The sequence below is a fragment of the Homo sapiens genome, chromosome 9 (assembly GCF_000001405.40).
Source record: "Homo sapiens chromosome 9, GRCh38.p14 Primary Assembly".
NCBI classification, from domain to species: domain Eukaryota; kingdom Metazoa; phylum Chordata; class Mammalia; order Primates; family Hominidae; genus Homo; species Homo sapiens.
The window spans coordinates 5,683,159-5,710,967 of record NC_000009.12 but is presented as its reverse complement, the minus strand read 5'-3'; the positions used below and the strand labels follow the sequence as shown (position 1 = coordinate 5,710,967).

The 27,809-nt window shown below is 35.7% G+C and overlaps 1 protein-coding gene across 13 annotated transcripts in view, besides 1 other annotated feature; it reads right to left on the bottom strand.

Annotated features, from left to right (window-relative positions):
* The window catches only part of RIC1 (RIC1 partner of RAB6A GEF complex), a 149,527-nt gene that overhangs the window by 67,666 nt on the left and 54,052 nt on the right, over positions 1-27,809 (bottom strand). For 9 of the 13 annotated variants that reach the window (XR_428426.4, XR_007061331.1, XR_007061330.1 and 6 more), the window contains exon 3: positions 20,930-21,009. The exons of 1 other annotated variant lie outside the window; for it this stretch is intronic. Coding sequence is in view for 5 of the 12 variants with exons in the window: in NM_020829.4 (NP_065880.2) it covers positions 20,930-21,009 (80 nt within the window). In the remaining 7 variants the exon portion in view is untranslated. 3 more of the 13 variants (XM_017014935.2, XM_047423610.1, XM_017014934.2) reach the window with 2 other exon arrangements.
* Positions 13,667-13,786: an enhancer, noted in NCBI's record as "active region_28176". NCBI's record gives its function as "activates an Ori minimal core promoter by ATAC-STARR-seq in GM12878 lymphoblastoid cells {active_cell/tissue: GM12878}" and the evidence as "EXISTENCE:reporter gene assay evidence [ECO:0000049][PMID:35858748]".

The following is a 27,809-nucleotide window of genomic DNA, read 5'->3' as shown; positions in this document are numbered from 1 at the left end:
TCTCTCTTTCTACAACTCCTAGTCAGTTAGATATTAAACCTCATATTAAACTCTAATTTTCTCTTTTCTCTCTTATTCTTGTCTTTTATTCTATATCCAGGGAAAGTTCCTCAACTGTTTCTTTCAATGCTTTTACTGAATATATTTCTACTATTGTACTTTTCATTCTGAGAATTTTCTCATCCACTCCCCCCGTTTTCTTAAACCATCCTACCTTGTTTGATTAGCCAAAATCTGTCTAAGGTTGTTAATTATTTCCTCAAACTGTTTTCATTCCTTCAAGTATCTGTTTACTTTAAGTTCCTTTTTTCTGGTATGTGTTTCTAAGTTACACTGGAAACTTTCCTAAAATGGCTAACAATGTTTAGTCCTTTGTTCTTATTTTAGAGGTTAACAATAAAAAGGTGACTACGTGTCTGCAGGCTGTCAACTGGTGGACTTCAGCAGGGTAGTGGCCAGCCAGCACTTTTTTGAGGTCTTCAAATACTAGTACCTGTTGAGCAGTTTTTCTTCAGTGGTTCCATTTCTCCAGGAAGGATCCCTCAAACCTGCCTGGGATATCAAAGCGTGAAAGACAGAAGTCTGGAGCCAAGCAGGGTAAAGAGGCACTATGACAACTTTAGCATCTCACTCTTCTGTTAAATATAATACATATTGTTAAACCAGACAGTATATTTCCTGTGAGGTGGGAACATAGGAATCCTTATTCAGTGTTTTCAAGCAATCTCTATGTTGATGGCCCCTGCCTCACTCCTATATTCTGTAGTACCAGTCCTTCTAAGCTCTAAGCCTTTCTGAGTTTGCAGGTAAAACAAGGTGCTTTTTATCAGTATCCTGTAGGTTCTTAAGCGCTCAAGTTTGATGCTCTTCCTTAGTTATTTATCTTTCTCTTTGGATTTTTAGCTCAAGGGTTGGAGATACCTCTAGTTTAAATTAAAGATGGGAATTTTATTTCAGCTTTTTTTCTGTTGGTGATTATCAAGAGAAAGAATTGAAACCACATTACCTATCTTAAAACTGGAAACCGTGTTTTTCTTTATATGAATATTCTCATTTATTACAACTAAAGTATTACAAGAACTTTAAAGCAAATTTAAGTAAATTCTAATTTCTTCATGACTTCCATTATAAAATTAGAGATACATCTCGCAGGAAAGTTTCCATCCTGTCTTCCAAACATACTAAAATAGAGCAAACTTTAAAAAATTACAGTAACAAAAAAATTCTGACTTTCTCATAAAAAATATTATTACTTAGAATTCAACTATAATTTGATAAGGTACAGCATCAGATGACTGGAAGAGAGTCACAGAAGATGAGGCTAGAAGAATAAGTTGAAGCCAGATTATGAAAGCACTGAATGCCAGGAGAATAGGAATAGAGCATTTACTATGTATGAAACAGTGTACAAAACGTTCTATACACATCCTCTCAACCAATCATTTGTAATCTTTTGAGACAGGAATTATCTCCACTTTTTCAGAGAGAAAACTGAAACGTACAAATATTGAGAACTTTGCTCTTGATCACAAAGCTAAGAAAGTAAGGGAGCTGATAATCAAACTCTAATATTTAAGGCTCTAAGCAACTGAAAATTAGAGTTAAAGAGACTAACACAGTAACCTCTGTCTGCACGTAGAAATAATGGAATGAATGCTAAGGAATGGATTGGGGATGGAGTAGGGAAGGGAACACACACTGTAAATGTTAATGTTTTTCGTATCTGGACAGACGGCAGAACTGCAGTTTCCTGCCTTCTTAAAATTAGGTGTGGCCACATGATTTACTTTGGCCTATAAAATATGAGGGGAAGTGATTTGTGTCATTTCTGAACAGAAGATTTAAGAGCCAACACTTGGTACATGTTTTGTTTTTAATCCTCTACTGTGATGATTTAAGCTATGCTGACTAATATAGTGTACAAAATCAAGTAACTAACAATTGTTAGATTTTTGTCCTGTAAAACTCAACAAATTAACAGTTTGTGACTATTCGACATGAGTGATTTCATTAACTATGGAATCCAAGAAATAGGAAAAAAGAATGAAAAAAAAATAGACCCAGTTTAAAGACTTATGGGAACAACATCATAAATACCAACGCCTGTCTGTATGATGGAAGTCCAAAGGCAAGGAGAGAGAAAAGAGAATATATGAAGAAATCATGGTTACAAACTTTCCAAATCTGAGAAAGCCAAGAGTCTTTCTTCCAAGAAACTCCAAGTAGGATAAATTTTAAAAGATGCACACAGAGACACATCATGTTCAAACTGTCAAAAAAACGAAGAGAATCTTGAAAGCAGCAAGAGATGTATGTGACTCCTCACATACAAGAGATCCCAAGTAAGACTGACAGCCAACTTTTCATAGGAAACCATGGAGGCCAGAGAACAGTGGGATGACATATTTCAAGTGCTGAAATATCTAGAAAAATTATCCTTCAAAAACAAAAAAGAAATTAATGAATTTCCAGATAAACAAAAAGTTGAGGGAATTTGTCACAAGTAGACCTGAACTACCAGAAATGCTAAAGGAAGTTCTTCAGCCTGAAAAAACAAGAGGCAATAACTCAAACCCATGTAAGAAAATAAAGAACACTGATAAAAGTAATTACATAGGTAAATATAAAAGCCAGCAGTATTTTTGGTTCAGAAATCTGCCTTTTTTTCCCTATATGACTCAAAAGACAAGTGCATAAAACAGTAATTATATATCTATGTTAACAGTTACACAATGTATAAAGATGTAATTTGTCATAACAACAACATAAAAAGGGAGAGAGGGAGATGTACGGGAACATAGTTTTGAGATATTATTGAAGCTAAGTTGGTATTACTTCAAACTAGGCTGTTGTACATGCAAGATGTTAATTTAATCCCCAAGGTAACCATTAATAACTAAAACATGTACAAAAAAGGAAATGAGAAAGGAGTTGAAATGGTACAATGCAAAAAAATCAAACCAACAACAACAATAAAAACAACAACAACAACAACAAAAAGGCAGCAGTGGAGGAACCCAGGACAAAAAAGATACAGACATAATAGAAAACAAATAGCAAAATGGCAGAAATCCTTCTTTATCAGTAAGTACTTTAATGTAAATGGATTAAATGCATTCATTAAAAGGCAAGCATTATCAGAATGGATTCGAATAAACCAAATGAGTCCATTTATAAGCTGTCTACAAGAAAATTACTTTAGATCCAAGGAAACAAGTTGAAGGTGGAAGGAAGGAAAAATATATTCCATGCAAATAGTAGGGTGGCTGTGGTAAAATCAGAAACAAACAAACAAACAAACAAAAAAACAAAAGACTTTAGGAACTATCACAAGAGACAAAGAAGGATTTTTATAATGATCAAACAGTCAATCTAGCAAGAAGATACCACACCTATAAAGAGATTCAAATATAGCATCAGAGCCACAAAATATTAATATATGAAGAAAGAACACAAAACTGAAGGGAAAAATAGATGTGTAATAATGTTGGAGACTTCAATACCCCACTTTCAATAATGGATAGAACTGGACAGAAAATAAGGAAATAGAGAAGTTAAATAACACTATATAAACCACTTAGACCTAAGACACATACTGAATATGCCACCCAACAGCAGAATACATATTATTCTCAAATGCACATGGAACATTCTCCAAGACAGAATGGATATTAAACCACAAAAAAGTCTTAATAAATTTTAAAAGACTGAAAGCACATAAAGTATCTTCTCTAACCAAATGGAATATAACTAAAAATCAGTAAAAGAAAAACTAGAAAATTCAAATATGTGGAAATTCAAAATACACTGTAAAACAATCAATGACTCAAAGAAGAACCAAAAGGGAAATCAGGAAATGCTCTGAAACTAATGAAAACAAACATGCAACGTTATGGGATACAGTGAATGAAGTCCTCAGAGAGAAATTTATAGGTAAAATGCCTATATTAAGAAAAAGATTTCAAATCAGTAACCTAACTTTATACCTTATGGAACTAGTAAAAGAGCTGGCAGAAGGATGGATGTGATAAAAATTAGAGTGGCTATACATGAAATCGAGAATAGAAAAACAGAGAAAAATCAATTAAAGCAAGTTGGTTGTTTGAAAACATCAATACAATTGAAAAACCTAAGGAAAAAGAAGACTTTATAAGTCTGAAATGAAAGTGGGAATATTATTACTGATCATACAAAAAAATAGTATGGGTTATAAGAGAATATTGTAAACAACTGAATGCTAACAAGTTAGATAACCTATGTTAAATGGACAAATTCCTAGAAACACACAAATTTCCCAACTGACTCGAGGAAATAAAACATATGAATAGACCTATAATAAGTAATGAAATTGAGTCACTAATCAAAAAACCTCCCAATAAAGAAGAACCCAAAACAAGATGGCTTAATTAGTGACCTATACAATATTTAAATAAGAATGAACATTCATCCTTCTCAAGATGTTATTAAAAAAAAATAGGTAAGAGGAGGGAACACTTTCTAATTCATTCCTTTTTTTTGAGACAGAGTCTTGCTCTGTCGCTAGGCTGGAGTGCAGTGGTGCGATCTCAGCTCACCGCAACCTCCGACTCCCTGGTTCAAGCAATTCTCCTGCCTTAGCCTCCCGAGTACCTGGGATTACAGGCATGTGCCACCATGCCCAGCTAATTTTTTTATTTTAGATGCAGTTTCACCATGTTGGTCAGGATGGTCTAGATCTCCTGACCTCGTGATCTGCCCACCTTGGCCTCCCAAAATGCTGGGATTACAGGCGTTAAGCCACCATCCCCGGACTTCTAATTCATTCTATGAGGCCAGAATTACCCTGATACCAAAGTCAGACAAAGACACTGCAAGAAAAGGAAACCATGGCTCAATATACCTTATGAATATAGATGTAAAAAAAATCCTGAACAAAATATTAGCAAACTGGATCCAGTAGCATATTAAAAGGATTATCCACCACTACCAAGTGGGCTTTAGCCTAAGAATACAATGGTGGTTCAACACATGAAAATCAATGTAATACAATGTAATCATATTAATAGAATGAAGGGGAAAAATCCCAGAATGATTTCAATTCATGCAGAAAAAGCATCTGAAAAAATAGTAATAATCTTTTAAGATAAAAACACTCAACAAATGAGGAAAGGAAGGGAACTTCTTCAAAATGATAAAGGACATATATGATAAAGCGCACAGCTAACATCTTACTCAACAGTAAATGACTGTTTACTGACTGAAAGTTTTCCCGCTACGATCATGCATGAGACAAGAATGCTGCTCTCACTACTTCCGTTCAGCATAATACTGGACATTCTAGACAGCAATCAAGTAAGAAAAAGAAAAGTCATCCAACAGAAACGGAAAAAATGGGACTCTCTTTATTCAAAGATGTCATAATAGTATAGTATATATAGAAAATTCTAAAGAATCCACAGAAGAGTTATTAGAGCTAATAAATTCATCAAAGCTGTAGTACATGATCAACACAGAAATCGTATATATTTCTCTACGCTAGCAATAAAAATTTCAGAAAACAACTCCATTTACAATAGCATCAAAAAGGAATAAAATACTTGGGAATAAACTGACCCAAGGATGAGTAAGAGTTGTATGCGTAAATAAATTAAGGGAGAACTAAGAAATTGGAAAGGTATATTATGTTCATGAATGGAATATTTAATATTGTTACGATAATACTTCCCAAACAGCTATAGATTAAATGCAATTTCTACCAAAATCCCAATGTTCTTTTAAAAAAAAAAAAAAAAAAAACAGAAATGGGAAAGCTGATCCTAAAATTCATACAGAAAGGCAAGGAACCCCGAAGAGCCAAAATAATCTTGAAAAGAAGAACAAAGTTGGAGAATTCACATTTCCTGATCACAAAACCTACTGCAAAGCTACAGTAACCAACACAGTGTGGTAATGATACAAGGGCAGACATACAGATCAATGGAATGGAATTAAGAGCCTAATAATAAACCTGTATACCTATGGTCAATTGATTATTGGCAAAGGTGCCAAGTGCACTCAACAGGGGAAACAACATTCTCTGTACTAAGACAACTGAATAACCATTTACGAAAGAATTAAGTTGGATCCTTATCTCACATCATAAGTAAAAAATAATTCAAAATGAATAAAAACTCTAAATATAAGAGCTAAAACTATTCTTAAAAAAATAGAAGAAAATATAGGCGTAAATTGTCATGGCCTTGCATTTGGCAATTGTTTTCTAGATATAAAAAAACTGTAAGGAACAAAATATATATATAAATTGGACTTCATCAAAATTAAACTTTTTTGTGCAAAATACACTACCAAGAAAGTGAAAAGCCCAGACAATGAGAAAAAAAATATGAAAATCATGTATCTTAAAAGGATGTAGTATCCAGAATATATAAATAATTCTTATAACTCAAAGATAAACAAACCAATTAAAAAGAAGGGAGAGGCAGGGCATGGTGGCTCATGCTTGTAATTCCAGCACTTTGGGGGGCCAAGACAGGAGGATTGCTTGAGCCCAGGAGTTTGAGACTAGCTTGAACAATGTAGTGAGATCCCAACTTCACAAAAAAATCAAAAAATTAGCCAGGTGTGGTGGTGCATGCCTGTAGTCCCAGCTACTCTGGTGACTGAGGTGAGAGGATTGCTTGAGCCCAAGAAATCAAGGATGCAGTGAGCTATGATTGTGACACTGCCTGGAAGACAGAGCAAGAAGCTTTCTTTAAAAAAATAAAAAAAAAAAAGACAGTGGGAAGAAGACTTGAATAGATATTTATCTAGAGAAGATACACAAATGGCCAAAGAGCAAATGAAAGTATGTTCAATGTCATTAATCATTAGGGAAATACACATCAAAACCATAATGAGATACTATTTCACATTCATTGGGATGACCCTAATATAATAAAAAAAAAAACCCAGAAAATAACAAATGTTGATGAGGATATGGAGAAACCAGAACCTTCACATATGGCTTGTGGGAAAACAGTCTGGCAGTTTCTCAAAAAGTTAAACATAGAATTACCATGTAACCTAGCAATTCTACTTCCAGGTATATACCCAAAAATAATTGAAAACAGGTGTTCAAATACAAATTGTACATGAACAACTGCTATGAACACTCCTAGTCATAGCAGGACTGTTCCAATAGCCAAAAAGTGAAAACAACCTCAATGGCCATCACCTGATTCATGGATAAACACCCTGTGGTAAATCCATATAACAAAATATTATTCAGCCATAAAAGAAACGAAGTACTGATACATGCTAAAACACGAATTAACCTTGAAAACATTACATTAAGAAGACACAAAAGGTACATAGTGTGTGATTCCATTTATACAAAGTATCCAGCAATTAAATAAGACACAAAAGGTACATGCTGTATTATATTTATATAGTGTATCCAGAATAGGCAAATCCAGAGAGACACAGACAAGAAACAAATGTATGGTTCTAGGGGCTGAGAGCAGAAGAGAACAGGGAATGACTGCTTAATGAATCCATGGTTTCTGCCTGGAGTGATGTAAAAGTTCTGGAACTAGGTAATTGTGATAGTTGTACAAAACACTGTAAATGTACTTAATGCTATGTGAGACATGGAGTCAAAGGAGGTTATTTTGGAGCTTTAAGAATTAATGACTGCCCTACTGTGTTTCAGATCTGCACGGGGCTTATAGTCCCTTTCTTTTGGCTGATTCTTCCCTTTCGGAACGGGAGTATTAACCAATGTCTGTATTCCCATTGTATCTTGGAAGTTATTAACTTGTTTTTGATTTTACAGGCTCATAGGCAGAAGAGACTAGTTTTGTCTCAGATGAGACTTCGGACTTTTGAGTTAATGCTGGAATGGGTTCAGACTTTGGGGGACTCTTGTGAAGGCATGATTGTATTTTAAATGTGAGAAAGACATGAGATTTGGCAGGGGACAAGGGTGGAATTACATGGTTTGGGTCTCTGTCCCTACACAAATCTTATGTCAAATTGTAATCCCCAACGTTGGAGGTGGGGCCTGGTGGGAGGTGACTGGATCATGAGGGCAATTTCCCCTTTGGTGCTGTTCTTGTGATAGTAAGTTATCGTGAGATCTGGTTGTTTAAAAGTGTGTAGCTCAGTTGCATGCAGTGGCTCACGCCTGTAATCCTAGCACTTTGGGAGGCCAAGTCGGGCAGAATGCCTGAGCTCAGGAGTTCGAGACCAGCCTGGGCAACAGGGTGAAAGCCTGTCTCCACTAAAATACACACACAAAAAAAATTAGCCGGGCATGGCGGCGTGTGCCTGTAGTCCCAGCTACTCAGGAGGCTGAAGCAGGAGAATTGCTTCAACCCGGGAGGCGGAGGTTGCAGTGAGCCGAGATGGTGCCACTGCACTCCAGCCTGGCAACAGAGTGAGACTCTGTCTCAAACAAACAAACAAACAAAAACAAAAACAAAAACAAAAACAAAACAAAACAAAAAAAAAGTGTGTAAGTGTGTAGCACCTCTCCCCGGCTTCCTGCTCTGGCCGTGTAAGAGGTGCCTGCTTCCCCTTCTCCTTCTGTCATGACTGTAAGTTTCCTGAGGCCTCCCCAGCCATTCTTCCTGTATAGCCTGCGGAACTGTGAACCAATTAAACCTCTTTTCTTTATAAATTACCCAGTCTTAGGTGTTTATTTATGGCAGTGTGAGAATAGACTAATATACCTCATGACTCAGCTCAGATGCTACTCTCTTTACAAAGAATTCCTCAATAATACACTGAAAGTATATTCCCTTTCTAAACTGCCTCCCAAAGCTATTTATCTGTAGCTCCTTTAGAGTACACATCACTTTTACAGTATATTTGATATTATCTGAATTTAGCTTTTGTCCCCTTAATAAACTATGAGCTTCAGACTGGGAAAAAATCAACTCTAATTCACACCATTGCCTTGTATATAGCCCAAAACCAACAAATGTCTTAAATGAGTAAAGATGAGTGTCCCCTTGGAGGCCTTATTTCCTGAGTCTTAGCTATTCCAGGCAATTGATGATGTTTAATACGTGGATCCCTGCATAAGTGGGATGTATGCACGTATGTTTTTTGACATTTTGAGTGTATTAAATGTTAACAGTTACTCCTTTGCTTTTGATCCCAGTCATGTGCTTGAGAAACTAACCAGCTTCAATATTTTAATTATGATGGTTTTCTCACTAAAAGCAAAATTGTTTGGAAGAACAGATAATAGATTTGACATGCACTACCTACCATATTCATACTAATGTTATAGTACGAATTATACAGAGCAAAAGTTAAGTTAAACTATACAAGGTAAGGAAGATGGATAGAAAACAAAAACCTGAATTTTCAAGAGAAAATGTAACTGAACTTTTCTTTTTTTTTTTTTTTAAATGGAGTCTTGCTCTGTCACCCAGGCTGGAGTGCAGTGGTGCAATCTCGGCAAACTGCAATGTCCACCTCCCAGTTCAAGCAATTTGCTTCAGCCTCCTGAGTAGCCGGGATTACCACACCAGCTAATTTTTGTATTGTTAGTAGAGACGGGGGTTCTGCTATGTTGGTCAGGCTGGTCTTGAACTCCCGACCTCAAGTGATCCACCCGCCTTGGGCCTCCCAAAGTGCTGAGATTGCAGGCGTGAGCCACCTCACCCAGCCCAAACATTTATTTCTAAGCTACACTTTGCATTTAAATCGATATACTCCAAAGGATTCAATATAGATGCCCATAAAAAAGATAAATATCTCCATCAGGAGTGCTATGTACACATCCACTCATGAAAGAAAAAAAACATTCAGAGCTTTTCTATAGGTCTCAAACAGAAGAGCCAGCTATACCACAGTTTTACCACAAATGGGTGATAACAAGTTATTGTTTACTTGCACTAATGAAATAGAACCCAGCCAACTTAAGTCATAGTGATAGTTTTGATAAATTTTGAGAAGAAACATGAAGGGAAATTAAACACCAGACTTTGACCATACGATTCTGAGAAGAATCTGAACTAAAAGCTAGGTAAGCTAACTGGGGAAAAGAATGTGAAGAGTAGGGAAGCAGTAGGAAATTATACTTATTTGAAAAAAAATATTTATAACTTGCAGTTGTCTTTGTGAAACTACATGGAAAAGAAAAAATTTAATTATTTTCTAACTTTTATTAAGATTATTATTTGTGACTCCTCTAGTTCAAAGTTATAGGAAGTTTTAAGTGATCTGTTCCAACGATTTTCCCACAAGCTTTGTTTTTAGTGTGCACTTGTGCAGAATGAAGGTGTTTACACAATGCATATATCATGCTTTGGCAAAAATACCTGCTCATGAAATGGTACAAAGCTTGTTAGACAATTCAAGTATTTTAAGAAGAAACAAAATATATAATTTATTATATATTTATAAGGCATATTTATAAATATACATTAATATACGTAAGAGAATTTAATTTGTAAGATTCCCCTCTAAAAGTGTTGAAATTTGCTAGATTTACGAATAGATTTTTAAGATTTGTAGATGGAACTTAAAAGTTTGAGCTACAGTTATTATTTTGAAGCTCTAATAAATTGAATATTTTTAATCCAAAGTAAACTCTAAATAAATATTCAGATTTTTTACTTTGAAAACACAAAATCACAAATGAACAAAAAGAAATGAAACAGCTGAATACATTATGGGATAGGCAAAAGGGATTAATCCCATTATAATCCCCTCAATAATGTTCTAAATTTCTATCTATTTGAGATTAACTGGGGCTAACAAAAACAAACTAACAAAATTTATAGAACTAGCTAAGAAGTGTCGGTCATTCCCAGCTCAGTATTGGTTAATCAGGTGCTCTCCCTACAAGCCATGGCAGAATTTGTGAAGGAAAGAACAGAAATGTCAATGAAGGAAACTTGGTGGGGTTGGGTGGGGACAGCCCATGGAACGATGACCCTGAGAGACAAGAAACCAGTGAAAGGAAAAAAAAAAAAAAAAGTAGGAATTTTTTTCTTAATGCAGTTTCGGATCAATTGTGTGACAGTTTTCTTAATGCATTCAAAGTTGTTGTGGTTCTTAAAGCCAAGAGGTTTACACATCACTGACTATATAAAACTAATTCTGTAGACAATTTGTCTTATTTACAGATAGATAACTTTCAGATATGCTTTAAAGTTTAATCTTGGTAAACCACCACTAATTTTAATACTGTATATGAAATCCAATAATATAATTTAGTTTCAGAATCAGAGTGAACATACATCAGAAAGTGTTGTAAATCTCAGATTATTGCAAAAATCTAACATGTGAAAAATCCAACAATTACATTTTATTTACAAAAATTGATTTACATAGGATTTGTTAAAATCCAATTTATGAAACAGAACAAATCTAGAGACACTAGGTTGCCCTTACCACTTGTGTGGAATTTGTCTCTCTAGAAAGTTTTATAAAATGTTGCTTTTATATTTTAGTTATATATGCAATATACAAACAGTTTTTTGAAAAAAAAAAAAAGACATTGAAATAAATGTAAGCTATACATACATTTAAGAAAGATGAATAAAAACATTTACCCACTAATTCCAGTTCAGAATTGCAGGTGGCCACGGCCCATCCCAGCAGCTTGGGGCCAAAGCTGAAGCCCACCTTGGACCAGATGTCATTCCATTGGAGGGCGCACTCACACACATACCCCACACTCGCTCAGACTGGGGCCATGCAGATGCTGATTCACCCAAAGCGTACATCTTTGGGATGTGGGAGGAAACTACAGTACTACACAGACATAGGGAGAATATGAAAATTCCATATTGACAGTGGCCCTGGCCAGGGATCAATTTTTTTCCCTCATCGATGTTATGACATTATTCAAGGATATGATGTAAGGAGTTTCTCGCTATATTAAAGAAGCTATCTTTGTTAATACTTGGAATTTTCAAGTATTGTATAAATGAATACTCTGCCTAAGTTCCCCAGAGGAGTCAAGTCTGTTATTGCTTACATTTGATACATGACTCAATCTGAGACTTGCTTTTGAACAAGTACACCTGTATTTTTTGGCAACCTCTTAAAGTTTTGTCATTCTTCAAATTCTAGTTCACTCTAAAACCTCGCAGTTAATGAACTAGAATCCCCTTCTTTTTTAAACACTTATAAATTGTCATAAATATGCAATGGAGGCACATTATATTTACATAATTCAGAAGGCAACCTAGACAACAATACCAGTTGCAACTTATTAAGAATCTAATCACTCATTTTTCTCATTTTATAGACACACAGCACAGAAAGCAACTTTAGAAAATGGCTTTTCCAAAGTCTTGGGAAAAAGCAGAATCTGAACTGGAACCTGGGCCTCTCTGATTCCAACTGCCATATTTTTTTCCACATCTCTAAACTGCTGGATATTTATCTGAGGTATCAATAGCAAGTCTAAGAAAAATATCACAAGAAAGTAGGAAAAATGAAGCTAAGCCGGTTTTATTAATGTATTTTCCATACATTAACTTTTGTAACTAAAAGTAAAGCCTCCCAGTTTTCTATTCCAATGAATGATAAGGCATTCATGTTAATGAGTGGCCCTTAAAGGGCCATGAAAAAAATAAAATGTTTCTATGGGATGGGTCAACCACTAGTCAAACTTCCCAGGACACTGAGCGGGGAGTAATTTCTCATCAAATTGGTAAAAACCAAAAATCAAACCACAATACCAAGTGTAGCATAAAAACTACACAGAAGTCTTAAAAGAAAAGAAGACTGCTTTTAAAGCATGTCAAGTATGCTTTGAGGGCTAGATCAGGTGATACAGAAAACTGATTCACAAATTCAACAGCCATTTCTTTGAGCAAATTCTTCTGTGCAGGAGATACCAAATGCTTTAAGTGCCAGCTAAAGAAAAGAATAATGTGGCAAATAACCTAATAGATTTGGGGTGTGGGGGAACAGAAACTTCAAGAATGCAATTAATTATAGTGTTTTTCCTTGCAACATAACTTACCTAAGTCCTGACTTCTCTCCCAAGTATAGAACTCAAGTCTCCTTATCTACAAAACTTCCCTTGACAACTAATCACTTTACCCTGAAATGCTATTATGACTTTTCAAGATATTTACCTGGCAATCTGTTATTTTATATTGCCATTAACTTTAAACAATTATTCATTAGCATCTTCAGTAGCAGTGTATAGCAAGTGTTTTACAGATAGCAGGCATACAATAAATGAGGATGAATCCATTTGAGATGATTCTGAAATGTGCAAGGCTTGATCTAGAAAGTTCTGGCAGTCCTATGTAAATTCTGGGACTAAGAGGCTTTAGTTCTCCAACCATAATTCTGGAAAGGCTCAGAACGATTTCTTTTCCTAAAACTCCAGGCCTCATATTTCATCATTTGCATTCATCATTGTTTACTGGAATGCTTACAATAATAAAAAGTATTTTTGGATGAAATGAAATAATGATATCTTGGATGTGCTTAAATATACTCCAGTGGAAAAAGACTGAAAATTGTTCAAACTGACTGATGGACACACAGATGGTCATTTTATTATTCTACTAATAGAGTACCTGGTACCAAACTAGTGCCCAGAAACAAGAGAACTGGACAAAATAGATCAACCAACCATATTCAGACATGAGACAGCAGGCAGCACAGGACTGATATCATGAGGGAAGGAAAACAAACAGGTTTTCTGGCAGAAGTCACCATCTAACCTCTTAAGGTTTTGTCCATCATGTAGAGTGAGAGAAACCAAGCATAGTATGGCAGCCTTGTTAAGTTGAGGAGAAAAAGATTAAAGTTCAGAGAAGCAGAAGCAGCTATTTGTGAAGCAGAGCACCAGTGATGTGGGAGCCACACAGAGAAAAGCTCTAGAAACCTGCAGGGGTTTCCCGAGTCTTACTGAATACTATCCAAATACATAGTGACACTCCACAAATACAGGCAAAGAATGACTACTAGGGTTTTTGGCTACCCAGTTCATATAGGACTGGGAGACATTTCGGTTCTGACTAGCCAGAATGGAGAGACCTTCTTAAAGACCTAGGACATTCAGTGGACTTCAGAAGGGCTAAGCTAGCTTAACAGTTAAATCCATCCTAAAAGACATACAAAAAGCCTCAAAAGATCAGTAAGATCTCCAAGCAGCTTACCTGCCACCCAAAACAACCTTCAATACTCTTTAAAGGAAAAGGACAAAAATCAGACAATGGATAATGTAATACAGTATCTAACATCCAATCTGAAATTACTAGACATGTGATATGACCCAGCAATTCTATTCCTAGGTATTTATTTACTCAAGAGATACAGGACAACTGGAGAGTGAAATGAGATTAGAATCTAAAAAAGCAAAGTTCACATTTTTTTACTTTTTATCTTTATAGATCTCTCATTGTTGGATTTTTTTTTAAGTAAGAAGGTATTGATGAATTAGTAGTGTAAATTTTTAAAACATACTATGGGAATGCACATGCCAGATCAGTTATTTATTGGGTACAGGGGCGGATATAGGAGAGTTGAGGGCAGAAGGTTTATAGAGTACAACAGATGTCTGACCTGAGCTTGAAAACCAACTCAGATAAATTTCTTACATAAAAAAAGATAGCAGGGGAGTCATACTGAATAGAGCAAATAACAAAGGAATAGAGGCATTAAATAGGAATTGTGGGTTCGATGTGTTCAAGATATGGAGAAAGTAGGTTCTAAATGCCAGGCCAGAGAGCTTGGACTTCGTTTTGGAAAAAAAAAAAAATTGTTATCAATGCAAATGATAAACTTCATTATGTAGGTGAAAGAGACTAGGGGAAGAGAAATGAGTTAGTGAATAAGCTTTTTTAATAGACAAGGAGGAGGACATGAGGGCCCCTAAAAAGACCAATGAGAGTAAAATAGAGTTAAATGAATTCCAGAGGCACTGGAAAACTCTAATCAATCAGTAAAATTTGATGACTGAACAAATATGTAAAGTGAAGAAACAATCCAGAGGAAGAAACAAAGAATTAAAGGTTTTCTACCTCATACAACGTACAAAAGATGATGGTAACTGCAAAAAAGTTTAGCAAAGCAATAGCATGTTTGGCTTGGCAGGGGGTAAGTGAGTGAGGTTTAGACATGAATCTGACATTAAGAAGACATAATAGGCCGGGTGCAGTGGCTCACGCCTGAAATCCCAGCACTTTGGGAGGCCGAGGCAGGCAGATCACTTGAGGTCAGGAGTTCAAGACCATCCTGGCCAACATAGTGAAACCCCGTCTCTACTAAAAATACAAAAATTAGCTAGGTGTGGTGGTGCATGCCTGTAGTCCCAGCTACTCAGGATTGAGACATGAGAATCGCTTGAACCCAGAAGGCGGAGATTGCAGGGAGCCAAGATCACGCCACTGCACTCCAGCACAGGCGACAGAGCGAGACTCTGTCTCAAAAAAAAAAAAAAAAAAAGATATAATAATAATCCAGGAGAAAAGTGACAAGACCTAAACTGAACTAGTGTCATTGGGAATTACGAGGAGGGAAAAGAAATGACATACAAGGTAGAATATACTAGACTGGATATAGACTGGCTATTGATGTTAGTGGGCAGGAAGAGTGAATAAACTCAAATACACGGTGGTGCCATTTACTGGAAGAAAAAAGCGGGTGCGCTCTTGACTTTCCCAGGATTCAGTTACCTAAAAATCAGACTGTATTTTCATTTTTACAGCTAATAAAAAAAGTTCATCATTTCTTACTAACTATAAATTATTATAGGACCTAAAATTTATTCACGGTATCTTCTTATGAATTTTCATACCTGCTAAATCTCACCAATCCAGAATTGTCTTCCCCTGGATATATGTTTTGTTACCTCATCATCTTTGAGATCCTTTTATATGTCATCTTCTCAGTGAAGACACTGACCACTATTTTAAGTCATATTCCACTCTCTATTCCCTTACCCTGCTTAATTTTTCTCCATAGAGTGGATCACCTAACTCATAATGTATTTTACTTATCACCCTCTACTAGAAGAATAACAAGATCTATCAGCAGGGCTTTTTGTTTTGTTGTTTTTTTCCACTGTTAGATCTCTAGTATCTACAACAGTGCCTAGAGCTGGACAAAATTCAATACTTTTTAAATGGATAGACAGATGGATGAAAATAATTTTCAGAAGAGTTTTTTGAAAGACGTAGTACCCTTTCACCAGACTTTTCATAGAACCAAAAAAAAAAAAGCCACCAAAAACCAAAACTGCTTATCGTTTATATTATCACACATTGAGACAGCCTCCAGTCTGACAGAAACAATGTGCAGGGCTCTCTGATTTGGGCAGTCCTACCATTCTTTGGATTCAGGTGCCATCCTTGGAAGTGTGGCCAATAAGGGAGTTTTCACTATCCAGAACTTATATAATAACACTGTTGCCAATCCTATTAATAAGTGCTCATGCAACTATAATGTGAAGTAATGGATGCATGTAATATGCAAAGTTCAGTAGTAAAAGGTCACCCATGTACATTTACAGAATATAAACACACTGAAATCAAATTAGACACGGGATGTTTTCAGAGGCTCAAGCAGAACAAAAAACATCAAGATCACTAACATACTTTGTCAAGTTTATAAACTGAATGTAGAACAAGGTTTATTATTAGAAATACGGGGAAAAAGTGGCTAAAGTTCCTCTCTAGAAAAAGAACACTCACAACATATTAGCAAAAAGAAACATATATTGAGGGAAACTTTCATGAGTCTGTAACTAATTCAGATCTCTTGTCACCTTTAAATTTGATACGATTTAGATGCTTCTGTCCCTTACTGTAGGTTTCTTCTGCAAAGAAGCTGGATTTTAGAAGGGGCAAGTTGTGTTGAAGTTAAAAATTGCTAACCTCAGGTAGCTATGCTCTTCTTCCTTTCCAGCTGGCACTAATTCATTAGCAGTGAGCTGGTAAGAAGTATTGCCATCTGATGAAATTATATGGGGAGGGTGGAGGGGGAAGAGGAGAAGGAGATTTGATTATATTTTGGAGTGACTTTTTTTCTTCAGTGAAAAAGACCAGTATCTTTACTATATAATAATTAAATGTACTGAATTTCAGTACAGAAACTTTTTTTTTTTTTAAAGAAACTCAGCCTCAAAAATGCTAGTCTCTAACAAAAAAGAGGGTAATAGTAGCAGTGAAAAGACAGGAAGAAGGGGGAAAAAAATCTCTGCTCTCAACAAAGTATACATGATGATGACATATTTGTTTAAATTTTTTTCATTATGCTGAAATTAAACATGATGTGCAATTTAGAAATCTACTAAACTTCTATTTAAACATAAGCATATGAACACATTTTAAAGCTAAACACAAATTATTTCTGACTTATCCCTGGAAGTTTCCTTCATTAATTTCACTAAAATTTCCAAGCCATAAAATAAAATGTCCAGACAACCTTCAACTAGTCTGGTCCACTGGTCTGTGTAACTAATATGAAGAGATAATGTAATATACAATGGAATCTAAGATTTCTAAAATGGAAAATTCATTCACCAAAGAATAAATGATCTTTGAGGTACAGAGTCACTTAATAAGACTGCCACCATTGTTATAGACTGACTCCCAACATCTATAGAAGGATGCTAGAAACAACACTAGGTGGAAACTAGGAAAGATCATGAGGCATCTGAACTGTGTTCTCAGATGGAGCATAGTGGAAAAGGATATGCAGTCTGAGGTTAAGATGCTGTCACATAATACAGGGAAGTTAAGATACTCTAGAAAAACTCCTGTGATGAACTTGTAAGATTTACAGAAGAGAAACGAGAGACAATAGTATTTCTATAACTAAGTGAGAAGAGGATGATTAACCACTGGCCTCAGTAATTATACTGCCTCTATTCTTCAGGACTATTAGAAACCACTCCAGATCATTTCTCCTTTTTCCATTCTCTACTCCCAGATAAACCCCAAAGTAGTAGCTGGATGGAGCATAAACAGGGTTGAGACAGTATATTACTGATTAATAGCACAGACTTTAGAGCTACAACACTTATGTCTGAATCCTAGCTGTACAACTTATTCGCGTGTGACTATGGGTGAGTTACTCTGCCTCTCTGTGCAGCAGTTTGTAAAACAGTTATACCTAACTACCTCATAGGGTTGCTAAAGGGATTAAATACGTATTAAAAAATGCTTAGAACAGTGTCTCAAACTACAGAAGGGTTTATAATGGCACAGATGACAATGAAGATACCACTGTCAAAACCAAACTTTACTTTCCTCAAAACCTTATATAACCACTATTTTTCAGGTTTTAAGAATATGAATTCACATAATCCTCTTAACAATGAAAGAAGTTATTTTTATTCCCATTGTACAAATGGGTTCTGCAGAAAAACCAAGAAACTCACTAGACTAAGTAACATAACTAGAACAGTCAAGCACACAAATACACAACAGGCTGACTTTAATCTGCAGAACTATTTTCATATAAGAGATTTTAGGTAGCAGTTACTAGAAGTTAGACTCTGGCAAAGAAGTAAAATATCAAGTAGATATATATGTATATATTTAAAAATTACTTAAAAGCTTAGAAATGAAGTAAACACTTGGTGAAAAAAATTACTGATAATAACAGTTGTCCTTTATTAATTATCCCATAAGCTAGGTGCTTACCTAAGCATTAAATATGAATGATCTCATTTAATCTTATGAGATGATTACTACTGTTATCCTACTCTACAGATGAGGAAAGTTTTTGGTGGTATTAAATAACTTGAAAGAAGTCATATAGCTGAAAAGTGGCACAGCCAACATTTAATTTCAGGTCTATCTGACACCAAAGCCTGTATCTTTAACTATTATTCGAACTGCTCTAAAGCAATGCACATTTTATTGAGGCCAGCCACTGAAACCTAAAACTTTCAATATAGTAAAAGAATGCCCAAATTAAGAAAGAGAGTATGTTTTTTATTTAGTTCTCTGCCTTAACACATAGAGTCAAACACAGCAAAGTTCACGCATTGTCAGGACTACTTAGTTAACTGGTGTCTCTTGCAGTTTTAGAATCAGAAAAGAAAGAAACTGTTTCTTAAAACTTTTCTGGAACACAAAAAGTGGGTCTCAAAATACTATTCCAAAACACTATAAACATGTAATGGTATTAGTGAACTGAAATAAAGAAAATAGAATTTTCACTGTTTCAAGAGAAGTTATTTCTCTACCATGCCCACAGGAACATAAATTAATGGAGTTAAATTGTTGTTTCTGATTACTGCTTTTTATTTATAGGAACATGTCTAAATTAAGCAATAAAACAAACATAGTAGTTTAAAATGCACCAGTAAATCTAATTTTAGTCATTGATTACAACAGTTCTTCAAAAGAATCACAAAATTATCACTTAGAATGCAAAAAAATTCTTTTTTCAGTTTTACCCATAAAACTGAATTTAAAATTTCTAAATACATCATGATGTTCCTATCATTTTGCACTATATTTATGTGTCAAAAATTTTTGCACTAAATATTTTTATTGAAAAATAAACAAGTTAAATTGAATCCCATCATCAAAAAAGTCTGTACTTTAAAGATTTCCAAAACCGAATACCTCAGTTAGCACTATACTTGTTACAAAAACAAGTGGCTATAGCATCAAGAAAATCTAACTAGTTGAAAATTTAAGAGTTGAAAAGCAGAAGAATCACTACAGTTCTACCATTCAGGAACAATTACTATAAATATTTGTACTGTATTGCTCTAGATTTTGTCTTTAGATGACTTGCGTTGTTTTGTTTTATACAGTCATGGTCATATTACATATATAATTTTGTGTGACTTGTTTCTTCACTTGGCATTATAATATGGTCAAGTTCTTAAGTTTATACATTTTTCTGAGACATAATGACTACATATCACTATAAGAGAAGGATGTACCACAGTTAACTTGTTAACCAGCTCCCTATTATCACACCTTTGTGTATCAGAAGTGTGCAACACAACTTTTATTATACCTCTGCGAGCAGTAATAATTCTTTAATTATTAAAAAATAAAAATGGTTATATTTAATGTTTATTTTATTTGGGTTTATTTTATTTAACGTTTATTTTATTTGGGTTACTACTGGGTCTAAATACTTTCTCTTGAGTTTGTTAGTTACAGTATTTCCTTTAATGAGACTACTTTCCCTATTTATCTACTGGAATCTCTGTGTGCTTATTGGCAATTTATATATCTCTTTTATATAAAAGTAGTAAGACTTGGCCCTATTTACCACAAATATTTTTCCCAAGTTATTTGCTGTTAATGTTTTTCTTTTTTTCTGTTAATATTCAAAAATTTAAACTTTTCACACAGTAAAATCTGTCTTTCTAATTTCTTATATACCTATTAAACTTTGGATATCTTCCACCATCTAGAAATGTGATAAATGCTCTTATATTTTTATCTGGCTTTATGGCTTGATTAAAAAAAAAAAAAGATGGAATGCTTTACAATTGTATGTTCTTTTATTTCAAAAGTTAAGGCCTGCTATAAGGAAAAGAATGCAAAATATACATAACTACACAGTGTAAAGGGCAAAAGTCCACGTTTTTCCCAAATTTAAACCAAGAGGTAATAACTGTCTGAGGTTCTTTTTTTTCTATGCATATACAAAAGCACATGCAAAAGTACCTGTAACTTACCAACATTTCAACTCTTCCTCTCATGATCTCTTAGCTCTTCCCTAATAAGGAATGAGAAATGCTAGACCTGGAATATATTAACAGTCATTCTGAATACCCAAGAAAATAGTCTTGATATAGTTTATCATCAAGATTCCCAGACTTAAAGAATTCTTTATTCAAGAAATGACAGTTCAAAGACCTGGTAATTTTTTAAATACTATTTGGGAAATGCTGGTTTAGTTTTATTCTAATCACTACAGACAACTCAAAACTGTAATGTTTTTCTGAATATAAAGTATGCAAATCACATATTAAAAGAATGAAAGGCAACAAACTTACTTGGGATACACTGGTTCATAAAGGTACTTGTCCCCTCTTGTAGATGTAATATGAAAAAACAAGATGTATCCATTTGCCGTCTGAAAGAGAAATTTTATTAATCATGAATTAAAGAGTAAGGCTATAACTGTAACCCTGAATTTTAATTTTATAAATTCTTACTTCGAAAAAAAATTTATTCTCCAATACCCTCCCTTGGAGAATTATAGCCTAATTATGCAAATAGAAGCGACTTTTTAATATAACCCATGTTGAAAAAAAGGGTTTTTACAGATTTCAAAATCTTTCAGTGAAATCAGTACTTCATAAAGTATTCTAGACATGCATACTCTCAAGTAACTGCATTATTCAATAATGAGTAAGTGACTATTTTGCAAAATATATAGTACTTTTTGAACTCTGCACTAATATGGCAAATTATTATTCTAAGTTTATAAAGCAACAATGCCACTTTATGGCTTTATTACACCTTTAAGACAAAACGCTTACTCTACTCAAAATTTACACAGTATTAACTTCAGAACAGCATATTTATATATTTCAAAAACAATCTTTTGGTCTCTGATTTACTACAAAATATAGCCCCAGATACAGACATAAAACAGAGCAAACCTTTAATTTCCAAAATTTGAGTATCAGCTAGTTCATTTTTCTAAGTTAACAAAATATTTTTTAACAACAAATTGTAGGCCGGGCGCGGTGGCTCACACCTGTAATCCCAGTATTTTGGGAGGCCAAGGCGGGCAGATCACGAGGTCAGGAGATCAAGACCATTCTGGCTAACGTGGTGAAACCCTGTCTCTACTAAAAAAATACAAAAAAATTAGCCGGGCGTGGTGGCAGGCGCCTGTAATCCCAGCTACTCAGGAGGCTGAGGCAGGAGAATGGCGTGAACCCAGAAGGCGGAGCTTGCAGTGAGCTAAGATCGCGCCACTGCACTCCCCGCTGGGCGACAGAGCGAGACTCCGTCTCAAAAAAAAAAAAAAAAAAAAAAGAAATTGTATTAAAAACAGTGCTATTACATGATCATGACATACATCTGCGTCATGACATACATACATTTGTGAAGTTCAAACAACCATTTTACATTTCTGTAAGTACAAAATATTATATTTAGCTGTTTCCAGCCAAACATTTTTACGCCTAACAGAGTGAAGTGGCAGTGTTTTGCCCAAACTACTTTACAGTAATACTGAATTCCTATCATTTTAGAGGGAGGTGGGCATGTACTCAAAGTAGAACCAAAGAAAACCAAGAAATTATCCAAGGTTTCAAATTACTTTCTAATTCTGGCTTCCTGTTTTTCAAAGGAATGACCAAGAAAATACTTAGTTTCTTCAGCAAAACCAGGTGGTTTGCTTTCTTTTTGACCATTAACTTTACTATTTTATAATGTATTTGAAACTAGAGTTTCAACACTGTAAGATACAAAAACAAAAGGGTGAAAATTCTTCAGATAAGATCATCTTTCTAATTCTTTATGTGCAATTTTATGTTCTTGCAATATGGAGAGTATGGAAGCAAAAGGAAAATGGCTTCAAATCAAATCATAACAAAGGTTTCACACATAAAAAAACAAGAACAACAACAACAACAAAAACAGACAAAATCTATGAAATACTTTTCAAAACACTGGCATCAAGCAATGAAGGCCAGTCATCCTTGAGAGATAAGAAACAACTGAAGTGACCCTCCTACTCTTACCCAGCTTACTGCCTTGTGAGAATTTCTGGGTCAGCACACTTAGAAGGCGCACTAAGACAAAGCCTGGCAGACTTCCAGAGTTGAGAAGAAGCTGAAGAGTCCAGGAAGAGTAAGACAAACATGAGACATAATGAAAAATCAACCAATCAAAACAATGCATAACTCAATCAGATGTTAAAATTAGCACAAAAGGACATTAAAACCTTTTGCTATATTTCATAATGTTCCAAATGTGAACTATATTCTGTATGTTCCAAAGGTTAGGCAATATAGAAAACTCAAACAAAACTCTAGAAACAGAAATACTAAAATATCTGAGATGAAAAAGACATTGGCTGGATGAATGACAGGTTAGACAATGATCAGAAAAGCACAGCAATAAAAATTATCCATAATGAAACACACACACACACAAAAAAACCCAAAATAAAACAGAAACAAAATCAGTGAATTGAGGAACAACTTCATGTAGCCCAATATACATATAAACAGAGTCTCCGCATGACAGGGGTAAGAGTCAGAAAAAAAATATTTAATTAAATTCAAATTTCATTTGCTTCACTTAAATTTCTTTAAAAGATAACAGGCTTTAAAACAAGAATAATAGCAGTGTATGCTGGGGTTTATACCGTGTGTAAAAATAAAATGTGTATAATATATGTTTCCTGATCCCAATAGAACAAAACTAGAAACAAATAAAAAAAATTCTGGAAAGCCCACAAATATTTTGAAGCTTAACTGCATACTTCTAAATAACCCATGAATCAAAGGAGAAAAAGGGAAATTTTAAAAATACATCATCCCAAAATTTGTGGGATGCTGCTAAAGCAGTACTAAAGAGGAAATTTACAGCCTTAAAATACTTATATTAGAAAAAAAGGAAAATCTCAAATCAATGACAAGCTTCTACCTTAAACTAGAAACAAATTAAACTAGAGCAAACGAAATCCAAAGCAAGTGGTGGAGGGTGGGGAAGCATGCAAATAACAGAGATCAGAGTGGTAATCAATGAAATAGAAAACAGAAAAATAAAATCAATGAATAAAAATCTGGGGTTCTTTTGTTATTGTTTTAGAAGATCACTAAAACTGACATATTTCTGGTCACACTGATCAGGCAAAAAAGAGCCACTAACAGAAATCAAAGAGGTGATATCACTACAAATTCTAGAGGTATTAAAAGAATAATGAGGTCACATTATTAATATGACAATAATTTTAACAACTTGGATGAGATGGACAAATTCCTTGATAAACACAAACCACCAAAGTTCACTGAAAAGAAATCTGTACCCTGAAAAGCCAATGTCTGTTAAAGAAATTATAATTCCAATTCAAATCCTTTCCACAAAGAAAATTCTAGGCTGAGACAGCATCACTGGTAAATTCTACCAACTCTTTAAGAAATAAATAATATCAGTTGAATACAGACTCTTCCAGAACACCAAAGAGAAGGAACCACTTCCTATCTCATTTTATGAGGCCTCATAACAAAACCAGACAAAGACATTATAACTACAGGCCAAGATCCCTCATTAACATATTCTTTTTTTTTATTATTATACTTTAAGTTTTAGGGTACATGTGCACATTGTGCAGGTTAGTTACATATGTATACATGTGCCATACTGGTGCGCTGCACCCACTAACTCGTCATCTAGCCTTAGGTATATCTCCCAGTGCTATCCCTCCCCCCTCCCCCCACCCCACCACAGTCCCCAGAGTGTGATATTCCCCTTCATGTCTCCCTGTGATCTCATTGTTCAATTCCCACCTATGAGTGAGAATATGCGGTGTTTGGTTTTTTGTTCTTGTGATAGTTTACTGAGAATGATGATTTCCAATTTCATCCATGTCTCTACAAAGGACATGAACTCATCATTTTTTATGGCTGCATACTATTCCATGGTGTATATGTGCCACATTTTCTTAATCCAGTCTATCATTGTTGGACATTTGGGTTGGTTTCAAGTCTTTGCTATTGTGAATAGTGCCACAATAAACATACGTGTGCATGTGTCTTTATAGCGGCATGATTTATAGTCATTTGGGTATATACCCAGTAATGGGATGGCTGGGTCAAATGGTATTTCTAGTTCTAGATCCCTGAGGAATCGCCACACTGACTTCCACAATGGTTGAACTAGTTTACAGTCCCACCAACAGTGTAAAACTGTTCCTATTTCTCCACATCCTCTCCAGCACCTGTTGTTTCCTGACTTTTTAATGATTGCCATTCTAACTGGTGTGAGATGATATCTCATAGTGGCTTTGATTTGCATTTCTCTGATGGCCAGTGATGATGAGCATTTTTTCATGTGTTTTTTGGCTGCATAAATGTCTTCTTTTCAGAAGTGTCTGTTCATGTCCTTCGCCCACTTTTTGATGGGTTTGTTTGTTTTTTTCTTGTAAATTTGTTTGAGTTCATTGTAGATTCTGGATATTAGCCCTTTGTCAGATGAGTAGGTTGCAAAAATTTTCTCCCATGTTGTAGGTTGCCTGTTCACTCTGATGGTAGTTTCTTTTGCTGTGCAGAAGCTCTTTAGTTGAATTACATCCCATTTGTCAATTTTGGCTTTTGTTGCCATTGCTTTTGGTGTTTTAGACATGAAGTCCTTGCCCATGCCTATGTCCTGAATGGTAATGCCTAGGTTTTCTTCTAGGGTTTTTATGGTTTTAGGTCTAACATTTAAATCTTTAATCCATCTTGAATTGATTTTTGTATAAGGTGTAAGGAAGGCATCCAGTTTCAGCTTTCTACATATGGCTAGCCAGTTTTCCCAGCACCATTTATTAAATAGGGAATCCTTTCCCCATTGCTTGTTTTTCTCAGGTTTGTCAAAGATCAGATAGTTGTAGGTATGTGGCGTTATTTCTGAGGGCTCTGTTCTGTTCCATTGATCTATATCTCTGTTTTGGTACCAGTACCATGCTGTTTTGGTTACTGTAGCCTTGTAGTATAGTTGAAGTCAGGTAGTGTGATGCCTCCAGCTTTGTTCTTTTGGCTTAGGATTGACTTGGCGATGCGGGCTCTTTTTTGGTTCCATATGAACTTTAAAGTAGTTTTTTCCAATTCTGTGAAGAAACTCATTGGTAGCTTGATGGGGATGGCATTGAATCTGTAAATCACCTTGGGCAGTATGGCCATTTTCACGATATTGATTCTTCCTACCCATGAGCATGGAATGTTCTTCCATTTGTTTGTATCCTCTTTTATTTCCTTGAGCAGTGGTTTGTAGTTCTCCTTCCCTCATTAACATATTCTAAACAAAATTATAGCAAATTAAATTCAACCTTATAAAAAAAAAACATCACAACCAAATGAGGTTTATCCAAGAATGCAGGGTTGGGGTTTAACAAAATTAAATACATGTAATTTACCTTATTAACAAACTAAAAAAGGAAAACCATGACAGTCTGAATACATTGCATTAAAAGCATTAGACAAAATTCAACATCCATTCCTGATTAAAAATTCTCAGTAAATTAGGAAGAAATGGGAAACTTCCATATCTGGATGAAAGAGATTTATAAAATATTTATAACATCATTCTTAATGGTAAAAGACTGAATGCCTTCATCATATTCAACACTGTCTAGACTCTAGGCAGTAAATTCAGACAAGAAAAAGAAAAGGTATATAAATTGGGGAGAAAAAGTAAAACTGTTTTTGATATGGTCATTTGCATAGGACTCCTAATGGAATTAACTATAATAAGTGAGTTTAGTATGACTGCTGGACACAAGACAAATATAGAAAAATCAACTGCATTTTTACATACTAATAAGAACAATTAGAAAATGAAAAAAATCAGTAACATTAAAGTTGTGAGATATGGATAAATCTGGCAAAAGAGATGAAATACTTGTACACTGATAACTAGAAAACAGTGCTGAAAGTAAAAATACTTCAATGGAGAAATACATCTTGTTTATATTGCTAAGATAGCAACTCTCCCCAAATGGATCCAAAGATTCAATGTAATCCCAATCAAACTCCCAGCAGACATTTCTGTATAAATTGATGAGATGGCGGGGGGGGGGGGGGGGGGGGGGGGGGGTGGAGCCAAGATGGCCAAATAGGAACAGCTCCAGTCTACAGCTCCCAGCATGAGCAACACAGAAGACGGGTGATTTCTGCATTTACAACTGAGATGCCGGGTTCATCTCACCGGGGTGTGCCGGACAGTGGGTGCAGCGCACTGTGCGTGAGCTGAAGCAGGGCAAGGCATCACCTCACCTGGGAAGCGCAAGGGGTCAGGGAATTCCCTTTCCTAGTCAAAGAAAGGGGTGACAGACGGCACCAGGAAAATCGAGTCACTCCCACCCTAATACTGTGCTCTTCCAACAGGGTTAACAAATGGCATACCAGGAGATTATATCCCGCACCTGGCTCGGAGGGTCCTATGCCCACGGAGCCTCGCTCATTGCTAGCACAGCAGTCTGAGATCAAACTGCAAGGTGGCAGCGAGGCTGGGGGAGGGGCGCCCGCCATTCCCGAGGCTTGAGTAGGTAAACAAAGCAGCCGGGAAGTTGAACTGGGTGGAGCCCACCACAGCTCAAGGAGGCCCGCCTTCCTCAGCAGTCTCCACCTCTGGGGGCAGGGCACAGACAAACAAAAGGCAGCAGTAACCTCTGCAGACTTAAATGTCCCTGTCTGACAGCTTTGAAGAGGGTAGTGGCTCTCCCAGCACACAGCTTGAGATCTGAGAACCGGCAGACTGCCTCCTCAAGTGGGTCCCTGACCCCTGAGTAGCATAACTGAGGGGCACCCCCCAGTAGGGACAGACTGACACTTCACACGGCCGGGTACTCCTCTGAGACAAAACTTCCAGAGCAACGATCAGGCAGCAGCATTTGAGGTTCACCAATATCCACTGTTCTGCAGCCACTGCTGCTGATACCCAGGCAAACAGCGTCTGGAGTGGACCTCCAGCAAACTCCAACAGACCTGCAGCTGAGGGTCCTGACTGTTAGAGGGAAAACTAACAATCAGAAAGGACATCCACACCAAAAACCCACCTGTACGTCACCATCATCAAAGACCAAAGGTAGATAAAACCACAAAGACGGGGAAAAAACAGAGCAGAAAAACCGGAAACTCTAAAAATCAGAGTGCCTCTTCTCCTCCAAAGGAACGCAGCTCCTCACAAACAATGTAACAAAGCTTGATGGAA